The following is a 15692-nucleotide window of genomic DNA, read 5'->3' as shown; positions in this document are numbered from 1 at the left end:
GGTGATTTCCAAAAGCCCCGGTGAGACTGGGTGCCATTTATCAGGTAGGTCACCTTGAAGAAGTGTAATGAGATAGACTGAACTATGTTTTACAGATATCTCACTGTATTGAGCAGGAAAGAAAATCTGTTCTGAGGAAGAAAAATTCCTCAGATTTGTTAAGAAGAGCTTGTAATCTAGAACACCACTAACACCACTCAAGGGGAAGGGATACAAACATGATTCCCCAGTGAAAATCTAGGTATGAAGAGAGAGTTGAAGTCATGGGTAGAAGGCTGGGGGAAAATACACTCATTTTAAAAAATAGGATCAAAGTAGTAAAGTATGATTCTAGGAGGTCAGTTATTTCTCAAAACTGTCAGTATGGCACTGTTTCTGAGATGGACTGCTAAAATATTTCTGAATTCTTCCAGCTACTCAATTATTATTACTCTGCCATCTAGGGTGCCCAAAAATATATGTGAAGGCCAAGGCATCCCAGAAAGAATGCCTCCTTCACCCTGGAGTAATTACTCACATGTCAGCTTGCCGGCGGAGCCACTGCTGGCAAGCACTACTGTCCTGGATATACTGGAGAACTTCTGAGAGCATAGTGCGTTTAAGGCGCTCTTCCTCCCGTGTCTTCTTGAGGTGATCGTAGGTTCTGGCACCTGGGGGTATAGAAAACACAATGACCACAATGACAATGCAGCAGAACTGAAGGGCTTCCTAACTGACCAAGAAACCGGTTTTGGGTTTTGTTCTTAAAGTCTGTTTCCTTTGCAAAACTGCTTTCACAATTATTTCTCCAAGACCCAAGTAGATTTTCCCTAGTCTGAAATCCTTTTCTTAATACTAAGTATTAAATATTAAACATTTGTATTCCTTTTCTATCTGTAAGAAATAAGGGGAAAAAAACCAACAGAAAAGTACAAAGAAAGTAAGAATTGCTCATATTTCCACTCTCAAAAAGTAACCAACTTTTACTATAGTCATATTTGCTTCCTGTTTTTTCTATTTTTATAAATTTTTTCAAAGTCACACAAGTGCTATAAGCATATGCCTTTCCTTAAAAAACAATTAGAATTACAAAAAAAGAGTTCTCTTTGACATGTAGTACCTCTTCTCCATATTTCTTAGAGGCAGCCAATATCAGGAAACCAAAATTAGTTATCAGAGTCTCTATATGCATCTTGCTAAACAGAAGAGCTGCGTGGTGTTTTCTACATGTTAACAAAGGTTCACAGATTCCAAAATACTGCACCAGTGGGTTTCAAAATTCAAACTAGGTTCCACAGAGCCCCAGGATACCACAAGAGTATCTTAGAGGTTAATGTAAAGAGAAAGGGCACTGCCAGATACCGGCGGGTCCTGGGCTCTACACATAAATTGAACCATTAAAGTTCAACCAAAGTAATTCCACTTTTATCTTTTTTTGAGACGGAGTTTCGCTCTTGTTGCCCAGGCTTGAGTGCAATGGCGCGATCTCGGCTCACAGCAACCTCCACCTCCCAGGTTCAAGCCATTCTCCTGCCTCAGCCTCCGGAGTAGCTGGGATTACAGGCATGCGCCACCATGCCCAGCTAATTTTGTATTTTTAGTAGACACGGGGTTTCTCCATGTTGGTCAGGCTGGTCTTGAACTCTGGACCTCAAGTGATCCGCCCGCCTCGGCCTCCCAAAGTGCTGGGATTACAGGTGTGAGCCACCGTGCCCAGCCCACTTTTATCTTATTTGTAGATTGGGGCTCACACAAAATTTAATTTCAAAAATGGTTTCCACTGTTAAAGAGCCATTATACTAGGCTGAACTTACATCCATAAGGCTATGTTGCACCCACAGGGCTGTGTTAAGAAGCCAACTATTGCCGGGCGTGGTGGCTCACACCTGTAATCCCAGCGCTTTGGGAGGCTGAGGTGGGTGGATCACCTGAGGTCAGGAGTTCGAGATCAGCCTGACCAACATGGATAAACCCCATCTCTACTAAAAATACAAAAAAAAAAATTAGCCGGGTATGGTGGTGCATGACTGTAGTCCCAGCTACTCAGGAGGCTGAGGCAGGAGACTCGCTTGAACCTAGAAGGCAGAGGTTGTGGTGAACCAAGATGGCACCACTGAACTCCAGCCTGCGCAACAGAGCCAGACTCCGTCTCAAATAAAAAAAAAAAAGAAGCCAACTATTTCTTATAGATAGTAGGTGACAACTATCAATAATCACAAAAACTTCAAATAGGAAGAAGGAGGGAATGCTAAAGATCATTTCAACAATGACAGCAAAACAACAGAAACTGCCATTTATTGAGGAATTATTGTGTGCCAGATACTGTGCTATGCTTATATGCAGTATCTCTAATTAAATCTTTACACTAACTCTAAGAACCTTAGAAAATTAAAACTTGAATAGAGGCCAGGCACAGTTGCTCACACCTGTAATCCCAGCACTCTGAGAGGCCTAGGCGGGAGGACTGCTTGAGGCCAGGAGTTTGAGACCAGCCTGGGCAACATAGCAAGAGTCAGTCTCTAGGGAAAAAAAAAAAAGGAAAGAAAAATAAATTTGGATAGAATCACATCACAGAGCTGGCAAGCTGGAGAGCCAAAATTTATACTCAAGCTTTTTAAGTCTAGACCCAAGCTCTTAACTACTATAATACACTATCTCTTATGACCTGGTTCTAGTACTAACTAGCTCTGTAACCTCTTTATACCTTAATTTCTTCACTAAATGGAAGTAACGGTACTTTATAAGTTTGTCATGAGAATTCATTGACTTGATCCAAGTGAAATGGTTAGCATAGAGACTGGTACATGGTAAATATCTGATAGATGTTAGCTGCTAATAATATAATTATTGTCACTACCCCAAGTAACTGGGATGCAAGCACCTGGAGCCAGTTGAAGCTTCATTATTTTATAAAAATGCTAAGACCATGTATCATTAAATTTGAAAAGGGTGACACACCTAAAATATAAAATTCCTTTTTTTTTTTTTTGAAACAGAATCTCCCTCTGCCACCCAGGCTGGAGTACAGTGGCACCATCTTGGCTCACTACAACAACTGCTTCTCAGGTTCAAGCGATTCTTGTGCCTCAGCCTCCCGAGTAGTTGGGATTAAACGTGTGCACCACAACGCCTGGCTAGTTTTTTTATTTTTAGTAGAGGTAGGGTTTCACCATGTTGGTCAGGCTGGTCTCGAACTCCTGGACTGAAGTGACCCACCTGCCTTGGCCTCCCAAAGTGCTGGGATTACAGGTGTGAGCCACTGCACCCGGCCCAAGATTCCCTTTTTTTAAAGAGCCTCGGCAGAATCCTAAATCTAAAGCAGCACCTCTCTTTCCTTTGTCTCACAACTTTTGTAGTACCAAAGATAATCTATACAAAGGTATTTATAGGGATTAAATAGCCAAAACTTTACTGGAAAGGTTTAAAGCATTCTGGTAAAGGAAAGCTTGTTTTTTAAAAAAAAATTCACAACAATTCAGAGACTTCCTCTGTGTGTCTGGAAGATACTTGCCCTCAAGTACGGTATGTAGCTGAAGCATACTTACTACAAAAATTGGTAATGCCTGCTGTCCTGTATTCTTGGAGCCTCTTGATTTCCCTTCGGAGTTCAAATTCCACTGTTTTCCCCAAAAGGAATGAAGGAAAAAATTACAAAAACAAAAGCAACATTAGTGAGCACTTTTGCTATTGAGCATTTTCATTAATTCTGCCTTATAAGACTAGGGAAGTTCATTTGGAGAATCCTACTCGTTGGTAACTTCTCATTAGAAATTTTACCCAAGAGCTGAGGAAAACCTACTCCAGCTATCTTCCAGCTGCTGTCTCCAGATGCAGCAGCTGGAACTGTCTTCTAGAAAACTTAGTGAAATGGTTAAATTCATTTGTCTACAAAAGTAACAATTTTTTTTTTCTTTTTTTGAGACAGAGTCTCGCTCTGTCGCCCAGGCTGCAATGGCATGATCTCGGCTCACTGCAACCTCCACCTCCCGGGTTCAAGCAATTCCCCCTGCCTCAGCGTCCTGAGTAGCTGGGATTACAGGCATCTACCACCACACCCGGCTAATTTTTGTATTTTTAGTAGAGATGGGGTTCTGCCATGATGGCCAGGTTGGTCTCGAATTCCTGACCTCAGGTGATCCACCCGCCTCGGCCTTCCAAAGTAGCTGGCATTATAGGAATGAGCCACCGCACTGGGCAAAATATAATTTTTTTAACAACCAAGTTTCCCTGCTCTAACTATCTTCTATTAAAAGTTCTACAAATCATTCTAATTTGGCTGCTTTTGAAACAGAGAATGAAGGAAGAGCCTGGACAATCCATGGGGTGTAGTGTTTTGGAATGACACATAAACCAGGGGTGTGTCCCAAACTGGGACAGGAAGTAAAGGATCAGTCACCTGGTACAAACCACACAAAGAATGCTAACCAAACAAGGTGTTTGGTGAGGACAACCAACCTGGCTCAGATAAATGTCTGCAATGCTATGTAAGAAATATTTTCACGGTGAGAATAAGGGCCTTAGTAGACTACCTTCCCAGAACTAAACTTAGAAGCCACATACACAAATGTCATGATGAAAGGTACAGAACAAGCCAGAGTCCATATTATTTTAACAATCTAGGCCTTACTGCCATACCAACATATTTTGTTTTGAAACAGGGTCTCACTCTGTCGCTCAGGCTGGAGTGCAGTGGTGTGATCTCAGCTCACCGCAACCTCGGCTACCCGGGTTCAAGCAATCCTCCCACCTCAGCCTCCAAAGTAGCTGAGACTACAGGTGTGCACTACCATGCCTGGCTAACTTTTGTATTTTTGTAGAGATGGAGTTTTACTATGTTGCCCAGATTGGTCTCGAACTCCTCGACTCAAGCAATCCTCTTGCCTTGGCCTCCCAAAGTGCTGGGATTACAGGTGTGAGCCACCACGCCCGGCCTCATAACAACTTTTAATTTTTTATAGTGAAAAATCAAATGGTAACTATGTAGAGCTCTCACAGAAATACCACAGAAAGGCAAGAGATCGATGGAAGTACTATCTCCACAAGCTATCCATCTCTGTCCTCATTTTTAAAACTACTTTTAATACTAAAATATTTATGAACAAAATAAAATGATGTCTGGGATTTGCTTCAGAATAATCCAGTTGAGGGCAGGAGGGAAGAGTGAGTGGTAAAGATGAAACCAGACTGGCCATGTGTTGAAAACTGCTGAAGCTGGATGATGGATACACGGGAGTTCATCATATTATTATCTCTACTTCTATATATATTTGAAAGTTCCCATGATACAAAGTAGGGAGAAAAACTACTAAATTATTGTTTATCTGGGGCAATGGGGGAAGTCATTAGGGCTTTTTAACCTCTCTTCTGCCACCCCCATAGTCCCAAATTTGTCTCATGGTAATAAAGGGGAACAAAGAGAGAAATATCCATTTATTTATTTATAGAACTTCACATAAAACACACCATTATCTCTCCTATTTATATAAATATACACACACAAATACTGCTCAAGGCTCAAAAACCACCTACATGCATGGCTTTCAATGAATTTGTCATGTTCCACTGGCCCCACAATTCTTGCAAATCGCCTCATTGTTTCATACAGGTCCTGGACCTCCTTGGGATACCGCCGTTCCATTACTACAGAGAAAATAAAACATAAATGTGTCATGGGAAATGTAAGGATCCCTGAGTTTTCAGCATTTTTTTTTTTTTACAATTAGTAAAATGGAAGAACATTATTCATAACCTCATATGACTAACTTATCCATGACAGGAAGCAAACAGGAAAGCCAAGAATGCAAAACACTAATCATAATGACAGCACCATAGCAACTATCCCACAGGGATGTTGTTAACACTGGAGATCATCTCCACCACTGAGCACTACTCATCTCCCACATCTACTGTCTTTTTTTTTTTTGAGATGGAGTCTCGCTCTGTCTCCCAGGCTGGAGTGCGTTGGGGTGATCTCGGCGCACTGCAACCTCCATCTCCTGGATTCAAGCAATTCTCCTACCTCAACCTCCCAAAGTAGCTGGGATTACAGGCGCCCGCCACTACACCCAGCTAATTTTTGAATTTTTAGTAGAGACGGAATTTCACCACATTGGCCAGGCTGGTCTTGAACTCTTGACCTCAGGTGATCCACCCGCCTCGGCCTCCCAAAGTGCTGGGATTACATGCATGAGCCACCGCGCCCAGCCACCTCACTGTCTTTTTTTTTTTTTTTGAGATGGAGTCTTGCTCTGTGGCCCAGGCTGGAGTGCAGTGGTGTGATCTCAGCTCACTGTAACCTCTGCCTCCCCAGGTTCAAGCAATTTTCCTGTCTCAGCCTCCCAAGTAGCTGGGATTACAGGCACACCGCCATGCTCGACTAATTTTTTGTATTTTAGTAGAGACGAGGTTTCACCATGTTGGCCAGGCTGGTCTTGAACTACTGAGCTCAGGCAATCTGCTCGCCTCGGCCTCCCAAAGTGCTAGGATTACAGGTGTGAGCCACCGCGCCCGGCCACCTCACTGTCTTTTAAACTACACAGGGGCAGGAACTGCTGGCAGTAATGGACGAGACAATTAAAGGCAGATCTTACATTCTTAGGAAGAATTATGGCCAAAATTTATGGTATTAACTCCCACAGGAAAACAAAGAAGCTACAGACAAAATAATCCATCCAGAAGATTTCCCATTAGCTGAGAAAAAGTGTGATTTCTTGCATGTCCCACCTACACATCCTCAAGCAAGGTAAGTATTTTTTTCATCCTTCATATGGGTCATTTTGCCTTTCTCCAAACTAAATTAACTACTACAACTTAATTTACTGCTAATGAAGTTTTATTTGACAACTGTCATGCAAATATCATGCAGAGACACCAGAGCAGCAACTCTGGGGATCACTACTGACCAAACAACTAATCCAAAGATGTATCTGCAAAGAAGATGGAGAGTAAAACTGACTAACAATAACTGGTAGATTGGAGCAGTCAGTAACTCTCGAACTGCTACTTGGGTCGTTTCAATCAGTAATTAGGTTAGTTCTATCTACTCTTGGACTAACGATACAGACTTTCATTTATGACAGCTATTTTTTTTTTTCCTAGCTTACCTTTTTATTTTTTTTGAGACGGAGTCTCGCTGTGTCGCCCAGGCTGGAGAGCAGTAGCACGATCTTGGCTCACTGCGACCTCCGCCTCCCGGGTTCAAGCGATTCTCCTGCCTCAGCCTCCTGAGTAGTTGGGACTACAGGCGCCTGCCACCACACCTGGCTAATTTTTTTTATTTTTTAGTAGAGATGGAGCTACTTGGGAGGCTGAGGTGGGAGAATCACCTGAGCCTGGGAGGCGGAGACTGCAGTGAGCTGAGCCACTGCACTCCAGCCTGGACAACTGGAGTGAGGCCCTGTCTCAAAAAATAAATAAATAATAAAGGACCTAAAATGTAACATACTTATGATGATGGCTATATTTTTAAAAAATATAGATTTTCTGTTGCCCAGGCTGGAGTGCAGTGACATGATTATAGCTCACTGCAGCCTTGAACTCCTGGGCTCAAGTGATCCGCTGCCTCAGCCTCCCAAGTAGCTGGGATTATAGGTGCAAGCCACCATGCCTGGCTAGATATTTATTTACACTAAAAAGACACTTAACCTTGTTGACTGAACCCTACGATGCTATATATTATTAAATAAATACCCCTACAAGAATCTATCAACTGGGATGTTTTACAATAACCATTAGGTTATTGTACAAACCTAACCATTAGGTTATTCTTTACAAAAAAAGAATATTATGACACACAACTATTACAAATATTTTAATACAAACATTGTGATTGTTATTATGACATCATCCTTCTTAGTTGTGGAAGCCTCTATGTTGTGGAAGAAGAAAAAGTACAGGGACTTTTTCTGCCCTGCTTAGGTATCTCTGATATTTAAAATAATAAAGGCCAGGCACGATAGCTCGAGCCTGTAATAAGGAGGCTGAGGTGGGAGGATCACTTGCACCCAGGAGTTCAAGGCTGCAGCAAGATACCATCACACCACTGCACTCCATCCTGGGCAACAGTGCAAGAACCTGTCTCTTAAAAAACAAACAACAACAAAAAACCACAGTAAGGTCAAAGGTGGCATTTATTTTAAAAATCACTATATGTATTTTTATCACCGTCATATAATATTAAATATCATTTATTTTGTCTGTCTATAACCATCCAAAATAAAGATCACTTTCTGTTATTTATCTAAAATATTTTTACAACCTGAAGATTAAGGTTATGTTATGCTTAACACATAGTTGCAAAACATGACTCTATCCAGAAAATTATTCATTAATATTCACACTGTAATTACTATACAAATTTTTAAAAAAGAATTTTAATACAAGTTTTATTGACTACAAATTAATACATTTATTTATTTGCTTATTTATTTATTTATTTTTGAGACTAAGTCTTGCTCTATCGCCCAGGCTGGAGTGCACTGGCGTGATCTCGGCTCACTGCAACCTTTACCTCCTGGGTTCAAGTGATTCTCCTGCCTCAGCCTCCTGAGTAGCTGGGATTGCAGGTGCATGCCGCCACGCCTGGCTAATTTTTTTTTTGTATTTTTAGTAGAGATGGGGTTTCACCATGTTAGCCAGGATGGTCTTGATCTCCTGACCTCGTGATCTGCCCACCTCAGCCTCCCAAAGTGCTGGGATTACAGGCAAGAGCCACCGCGCCTGGCCCCAAATTAATACTTTAAACTCTCACTATGGATCAGAATTGCCCTGAAGACTTTTTAAAAATGCAGGTGCTGTGCCTCCAACCCCAGAGATTCTTACTTCATTAGTCTGGAGTGATAGCCAGGCTAATATGCAACTTGGATTAAGAACTACAATACGTGATTTATTTAAAATTATTCAATAATATTGGAAAAAAATTGTAAAATAAAGAAAACTGCTAATACTTACATTGAAACTTTCTAAGGTTGATTAATCCATGGTCTCTTATAATTCTAGAATGAAAAGCCACAATAATTTGTGCATTAGAATTATTTTCACATTTACTAATGCTTTACACATATAGCTATCATCAGACATAAACATGCTGAGGTGGAATACAATACAGAGGTCCAAAGAAGTCACTCCCACAAATTTCTGCAGGTCAGTGAATCACTAACCCAATTTTAGACTCTCAGGCATCACGGGTTTTTCCTCTTGTTGGGCATAGTAGACTCTCCATGACTATTTGCTGAACGAATGAATCAATCAATAACCACTCACAAATGCTGAAAAACACATGTCTGTCACTTAAGATGAAACCGAAAGGAATCTCTGTCCATGTCATAAAGTTAATCTATTCAGCTTGTGGAAATAATTGAGAACAGCCATTTTAGAGAAATCTGCTAAAGGGCACCATGATCACATATTCAACATTTTCAACTGTGCATTCACACAACACTGGCGGTACTAGAAATAAATATTGTGCATGTTTAATGAAAGGGCATTATAAAACAAAAGATTTGATAGCAACATCAGCAACTGAGTTCTACAGTACTCTCTAGCTCGAATTGTGTTTTAAGCAAAAGAGAATTTAAACCAGGCAAAGTTATGTGTCTTGAATCTGATTTATACCAGAGGTATTCATAACTAGCAATGAAGCTTCTCATAGGAGCAACTGGGTATGCTTCTTCAGCATTTCATGGAAGCTAACTCCAGACATGCAGAGAGTAAGTTTTACTTTAGATCAGGAGTTCCCAACCCCTGGGCCATGGACCAGTTAGGAACCAGGCTGCACAGCAGGTGAGCAGCTTTACCGTCTGAACTCTGCCTCCTGTCAGAGGAGCGGCAGCATTAGATTCTCACAGGAGCGCGATCCCTATTGTGAACTGCTCACGTGGAGGATCTAGGATGTGTGCTCCTTATGAGAATCTAACCAATACCTGATGATCTGAGGTGGAACAGTTTCATCCCAAAACCATTCCTGCCCCCAGCCATCCATGGAAAAACAGTCTTCCATGAAACCACTCCCTGATGCCAAAAAGGTTGAGGACTGCTGCTTTAGATCACATCTTAGTTCCTCCAGAGTGAATCTCAAGTCCCTTTTTTTTCTTTTGCTTTTTTTTTTAAGAGATGGGGTTTTCCTAGGTTGCCCAGACTGGCCTTGAACTCCTAGGCTCAAGTCATCCTCTCACCTTAGCCTCCCAAGTAGCTAGGACCAGAGGTTCATGCTACCACACCTGGCTTCTCTCCTTTTTATTGCTGAGATATCACTGTGTCTACAGTTAGTAACATCACAGTAAATACATGCCTACACATACATACACACACATGCACACTTATACCCTCTGCATACTCTTCTCTGAAACCAACAGAGGTCTGAGATCCATAATTTCTAAGTCTGAATGTATACTTTTTGATATGTTGCAAAGAGAGGAAGAACCAGTATGCCTGAAACTTGTTCAGAATTTCTTTGAAATCCTTTTAGATGAAAGACTTCTCATTAAAAAATGAACAGTTAGAAAGAGAACATTAAAAAAGCACAATAGGGCTGGGGGCAGTGGCTCATGCCTGTAATCCCAGCACTTTGGGAGGCTGAGGTGGGCGGATCACCTGAGGCCTGGAGTTTGAGACCAGCCTGGCCAACATGGGGAAACTGTGTCTCTACTAAAAATAAAAAATTAGCTGGGCATGATGGCACGTGCCTGTAGTCCCAGCTTCTTGGGAGGCTGAGGCACGATAATTGCTTGAACTCAGGAGGCAGACGCTGCAGTGAGCTGAGATCGCGCCATTACACTCCAGCCTGGGTGACGGAGCAAGACCATCTCAAAAGTAATAATAATAAAATAAAAAATAAAAATAAAATAAAAAAGCCTAACAGTCCGAGTGCAGTGGCTCACACCTGTAATTCCAGCACTCTGGGAGGCCAAGGCAGTAGGATGCCTTGAGTCTAGGAGTTCAGGACCAGCCCAGGCAACATTGTGAGACCCTGTCTCAAAAAAAAAAAAAAAGGTTTTTTTTCTTTTTTGAGACGGAGTCTCACCCTGTCGCCCAGGCTGGAGTGCAGTGGTGTGATCTTGGCTCACTGCAACCTCCGTCTCCCAGGTTCAAGCAATTCTCCTGCCTCAGCCTCCCGAGTAGCTTGGACTACAGGCATGCACCACCACCCCCAGCTAATTTTTGTATTTTTAGTAGAGACAGGGTTTCACCATGTTGGTCAGGCTGGTCTTGAACTCCTGACCTCAGGTGATCCACCAGCCTCGGCCTCCCAAAGTGCTGGGATTACAGGTGTGAGCCACCGCGCCCAGTCTAAAAAAAGAAAAAGGTTTTAAAATTAGCCAAGTGTGGTGGTGCGCACCTGTAGTCCTAACTACTTGGGAGGCTGAGGTGGGAGGATTGTTTGAGCCCAGGAGTTGGAGACTGCAGTGAGCCATGATAGTGACACTGCACTCCAGCCTGGGTGACAGAGTAAGTGTGAGACTCTGTCTCTTATTTAACAAAAAAAAAAAAAGGTTGAACACGGTGGCTCACGCCTGTAATCCCAGCACTTTGGGAGGCAGAGGGGGATGGATCACTTAAGGTGGGGAGTTCAAGACCAGCCTGGACAACATGGCAAAACTCCATCTCTATTAAAAATGCAAAAATTAGCCAGGCGTGGTGGTGCACACCTATAGTCCCAGCCACTTGGGAGGCTGAGGCTGGAGAATCACATGAACCCAGGAGGCAGAACTTGCAGTGAGCTGAGATCACGCCACTGCACTCCATCCTGGGTGACAGAACGAGACTCCATCTCAAAAAAAAAAAGACAAAAGCAAAGAATGATTCACAAATATTAAAAAAAAAAAAGTGTAACAATACTGTCTTGATGCCTTTATTTTATCTTGTTCTTTTACTTCAAATAGCTTAAAACAGTGTACCCATATTATTCATTGTTCATCATAACGTCAATAAAGGATAAGGGCAGAGGATATAAAAATAACACAGGAATTACTATCCTCAATTGAGAGAAGGAAAAATTGAGGTCTAAGGAGGGTAAGAGTCTTCTCCAAGGTCAAAAGATGAGTCACAAGTGGAGCATTCTCTCATGGACTATATGTGGTCAATCACTCAAAGCTGAGGCCAGGCACAGTGGCTCATGCCTGCAATCCTAACACTTTGGGAGCTGAGGAGGGAGGATCACTTAAGTCCAGGAGTTTGAGACCAGCCTGGCCAACACAGCAAAACCCCGTATCTACAAAAAATACAAAAAATTAGCCAGGCATGGTGGCGCACTGCTGTAGTCCCACATGCTCAGGAGGCTGAGGTGGGAGAATCAATTGAGCCTGAGAGGTTGAGGCTGCAGTGAGCCATTATTGTGCTGCTGCTCTCCAGCCTGGGCAACAGAGTGAGACCTTGCCTCTCTCACAGACACAGACACAGACACACACACACACACACACACACACACACACACACAAAACAATAATCCAAAGCTGAAAGGAGGCCAGGATGGTTTTTTATACTTACTTTTTTCGTCTTTGTCTCTCCTTTAACCTGGAATGATAGATATCTACCACAGCCATCTTCAGAGCTACAAATAAATTCATACATATACTATATATACATATCATATATATATTATATAAATAAATAAAACCAAGACAAAAATAAATCTTTTACCCAAACTTTGAACCTCATATTGCTAATTACTCCACACTCACTAGTCTAGAAAACATAAAAATATTCCAGCATAAAGAATTTGTCTATCAATAAGTAAAGTTATTTTTCCGCTATTTATATATCTTATGGCATTACTCAGATTATAAATTCTGCTTTCTGCAGTCAGAAAAATGAATAAGATCATGTCCTTTGCCAGGACATGAATGGAGCTAGAGGCCATTATCCTTAGCAAACTAACACAGGAACAGAAAACCAAATACCACATGTTCTCACTTATAAGCGGGAGCTAAATGATGAGAACACACGGACACATAGAGGGGAACAACACACACTAGGGCCTATCAGAGGGTGGAGGGTGGGAGGAGGGAGAGGATCAGGAAAAATAACTAATGGGTACCAGGCTTAATACCTGGATGATGCAATAATCGGTATAACAAACCCTATGATACAAGTTTACCTATGCAATATACCTGCATATGTACCCCTGAATTTAAAATAAAAGTTAAAAAAAATTCTCCTTTCTATTAAACACCTTTTTTGGACATTGTTATGTAACTATTACTATATATAGTGAATATCTGATCTTTGGTAATACATGGGCTAGAAATTGCATCAGAGTACTCATAAGAATGAATATTGGGCTGGGCGTGGTGGTTCACACCTGTAATTCCAGCACTTTGGGAGGCTGAGACAGGCAAATCACCTGAGGTCAGGAGTTCAAGACCAGCCTGGCCAACACGGTGAAACCCCATCTCTATAAAAATACAAAAATTAGCTGGGCATGATAGCAGTTACCTGTAATCCCAGCTACTCGGGAGGCTGAGGTGGGAGAATCGTTCAAAGCCAGGAGGTGAGGTTGCAGTGAGCCGAGATCATGCCACTACACTCCAGCCTGGGGCAACAGAGCGAGACTCGTCTCAAAAAAAAAAAAAAAAAAAAAAAAGAATTAATGTTGGTTGGGCACAGTGGCTCACACCTGTAATCCCAGCACTTTGTAAGACTGAAATGGATGGATCACTTGAGGTCAGGAGTTCAAGATCAGCCTGGCCAATATGGTGAAACCATGTCTTTACTAAAAATACAAATATTGGCTGGGCGTGGTGGCAAGTGCCTGTAGTCCCAGCTACTCGGGAGGCTGAGGCAGGACAGTTGCTTGAACCTGGGAAGCAGAGGTTGCAGTGAGCCGAGATGGCACCACTACATTCCAGCCAGGGCATTGCTGCAAGACTCCGTCTCAAAAAAAAAAAAAAAAAAAAAAGAATAATGATTGTGGTCATAACTGCACAGGAGTAACAGACAATGTCAAGGCAAGACTAATGTGAATAAAGGTACAGTGTAGACATTTTCCCAGAGTAGGAGTTTTCAGTTGGGGAGCAGCAACTGTTTAGAGTGTAGAGTTTTGCATTCTGTAGTGAAAAGTTCCATCAAGTATCCTAACCAGTGTAAAAGCCCTGCTTGGTTTCCTGGGACCCAATCCTTTCCTGGCTTTAGTCTCATGTTAAAGACACAGGGAAGAAGGAGGAAAGAGGCTGTAAATAGTAAAAGTTTTATCAGTGTAATAGTTCTGGTTCTTTCTTTCCCTAGCCACTCTTTCCATCTTCAGAGTTCCAAAGATTCTGTTCTAATTCCTTTTTACCCCTCACCTTAGTCCTATAAATTCCTCTACTTCTATGGGTCCAAGTACCATCAAAATGCATAATTTCAAACTCGATATCTATTTTAAGCTCCAGTTCCTACTGCATATAATTTACTCACATGCCCTTCAGTTGCAAACTTATATTCTACCCCTTTCCTATCCTCTAAAACTCCTATATTGGATAACTGCATCAGAGTAAAGATAGCTATCCAAGACAGAACTCAATCTGGATTCTTCCTCCTTCTCCTCCATAGTCGATGAGTCTTAGCCACACTGCACTTAACGCTTACATCTCTCAAATTCATCCCTTCATCCCTAATCCTATTCCCTAGCTCAGGCATCTTGTCTCTCCTGTCATCTTCATGCTATCTTGTAGGAGAGGCATCATTACTCACTTATCGACTCCATTCTTGCCTTACTGTAACTCACCTCTTCCAAATGGTACTTGAAAAATATTTTAAAGCACAATGTAATGGTGTAATTCCCTTGCTTATAATTCTTCAGTGGCTTCCCATCCACGTACAGTTCAAACTCTTGCATGTTACACAAGACTATTTATTGTCTTGATTACGCCTACCTTTCGACTCATTTCTTTTTTTGAGATGGAGTCTCGCTCTGTTGCCCAGGCTGGAGTGCAGGGGCGCTTGGCTCACTGCAACCTCTGCCTCCCGGGTTCAAGGGATTCTCCTGCCTCAGTCTCCCAAGTAGCTGGGATTACAGGTGTGCGCCACCATGCCTGGCTAATTTTTGTATTTTTAGTAGAGACAGGGTTTCGCCATATTGGCCAGGCTGGTCTTAAACTCCTAACCTCAAGTAATCCACCCACTTTGGCCTCTCGAAGTGCTGGAATTACAGGCGTGAACTACTGCACCCGGCCCCATTCTTGTTTCCTATCACTCCCGCATATGCCCTATACACCATGCATACAAAACAAATGGCCCAAGATCACACAGCTGTTAAGTACACAGCAGGGATCCAAAAATAAGCAGTCTGGTTCCAGAGTATTAAGTAGGAAAAACACTGAAATTGTCTAAATGTTTACTTTCTCTGTGTTTATGCTATATTCTAAATCTGCCTTAATTGAAAATGAAATGTGTATTTTAAAAAACCTCGTAAGCGGCCAGGCGCAGTGGCTCATGCCTCTGATCCCAGCACTTTGGGAGGCCGAGGCAGGTGGGTCACAAGGTCAGGAGCTCAAGACCATCCTGGCTAACATGGTGAAACCCCATCTCTACTAAAAATATAAAAAATTAGCCTGGCATGGTGGCGGGCGCCTGTAGTCCCAGCTACTCAGGAGGCTGAGGCAGCAGAATGGCCTGAACCCGGGAGGCAGAGCTTGCAGTGAACCGAGATCACGCCACTGCACTCCAGCCTGGGCGACAGAGTGAGACTCCGTCTCAAAAAAACAAACAAACAAACAAACAAACAAACAAAAAAACAA

The 15692-nt window shown here is 42.2% G+C and overlaps 1 protein-coding gene across 13 annotated transcripts in view, besides 2 other annotated features; it reads right to left on the bottom strand.

The window, feature by feature from the left end:
• TADA2A (transcriptional adaptor 2A) overlaps positions 1-15692 on the bottom strand; it is a 72840-nt gene that overhangs the window by 8676 nt on the left and 48472 nt on the right. For 11 of the 13 annotated variants that reach the window (NM_001166105.3, XM_017024982.1, XM_017024981.2 and 8 more), the window contains 5 exons: positions 12463-12526; positions 8929-8972; positions 5509-5619; positions 3525-3596; positions 518-650 (listed from right to left, as the gene is read on the bottom strand). In NM_001166105.3, coding sequence (NP_001159577.2) covers positions 518-650; positions 3525-3596; positions 5509-5619; positions 8929-8972; positions 12463-12526 — 424 coding nt within the window. Of the gene's footprint in view, positions 1-517; positions 651-3524; positions 3597-5394; positions 5620-8928; positions 8973-12462; positions 12527-15692 lie in introns of those variants that run through there. The other 2 variants (NM_001291918.2, NM_133439.4) reach the window with 1 other exon arrangement.
• Positions 11958-12158: a silencer, noted in NCBI's record as "peak2830 fragment used in MPRA reporter construct". NCBI's record gives its function as "represses an SCP1 promoter by STARR-seq MPRAs in K562 erythroleukemia cells {active_cell/tissue: K562}" and the evidence as "EXISTENCE:reporter gene assay evidence [ECO:0000049][PMID:32103011]".
• Positions 15060-15561: an enhancer, noted in NCBI's record as "NANOG-H3K4me1 hESC enhancer chr17:35815591-35816092 (GRCh37/hg19 assembly coordinates)". NCBI's record gives its function as "activates a minimal SCP1, AML or CMV promoter by ChIP-STARR-seq in naive H9 embryonic stem cells {active_cell/tissue: H9 hESC(naive)}" and the evidence as "EXISTENCE:reporter gene assay evidence [ECO:0000049][PMID:30033119]".

Source organism: Homo sapiens, chromosome 17 (genome assembly GCF_000001405.40).
Source record: "Homo sapiens chromosome 17, GRCh38.p14 Primary Assembly".
Lineage (NCBI taxonomy): Eukaryota > Metazoa > Chordata > Mammalia > Primates > Hominidae > Homo > Homo sapiens.
Note: the sequence above shows the minus strand (reverse complement) of the source record. Positions and strands in the feature narration are given on the sequence as shown.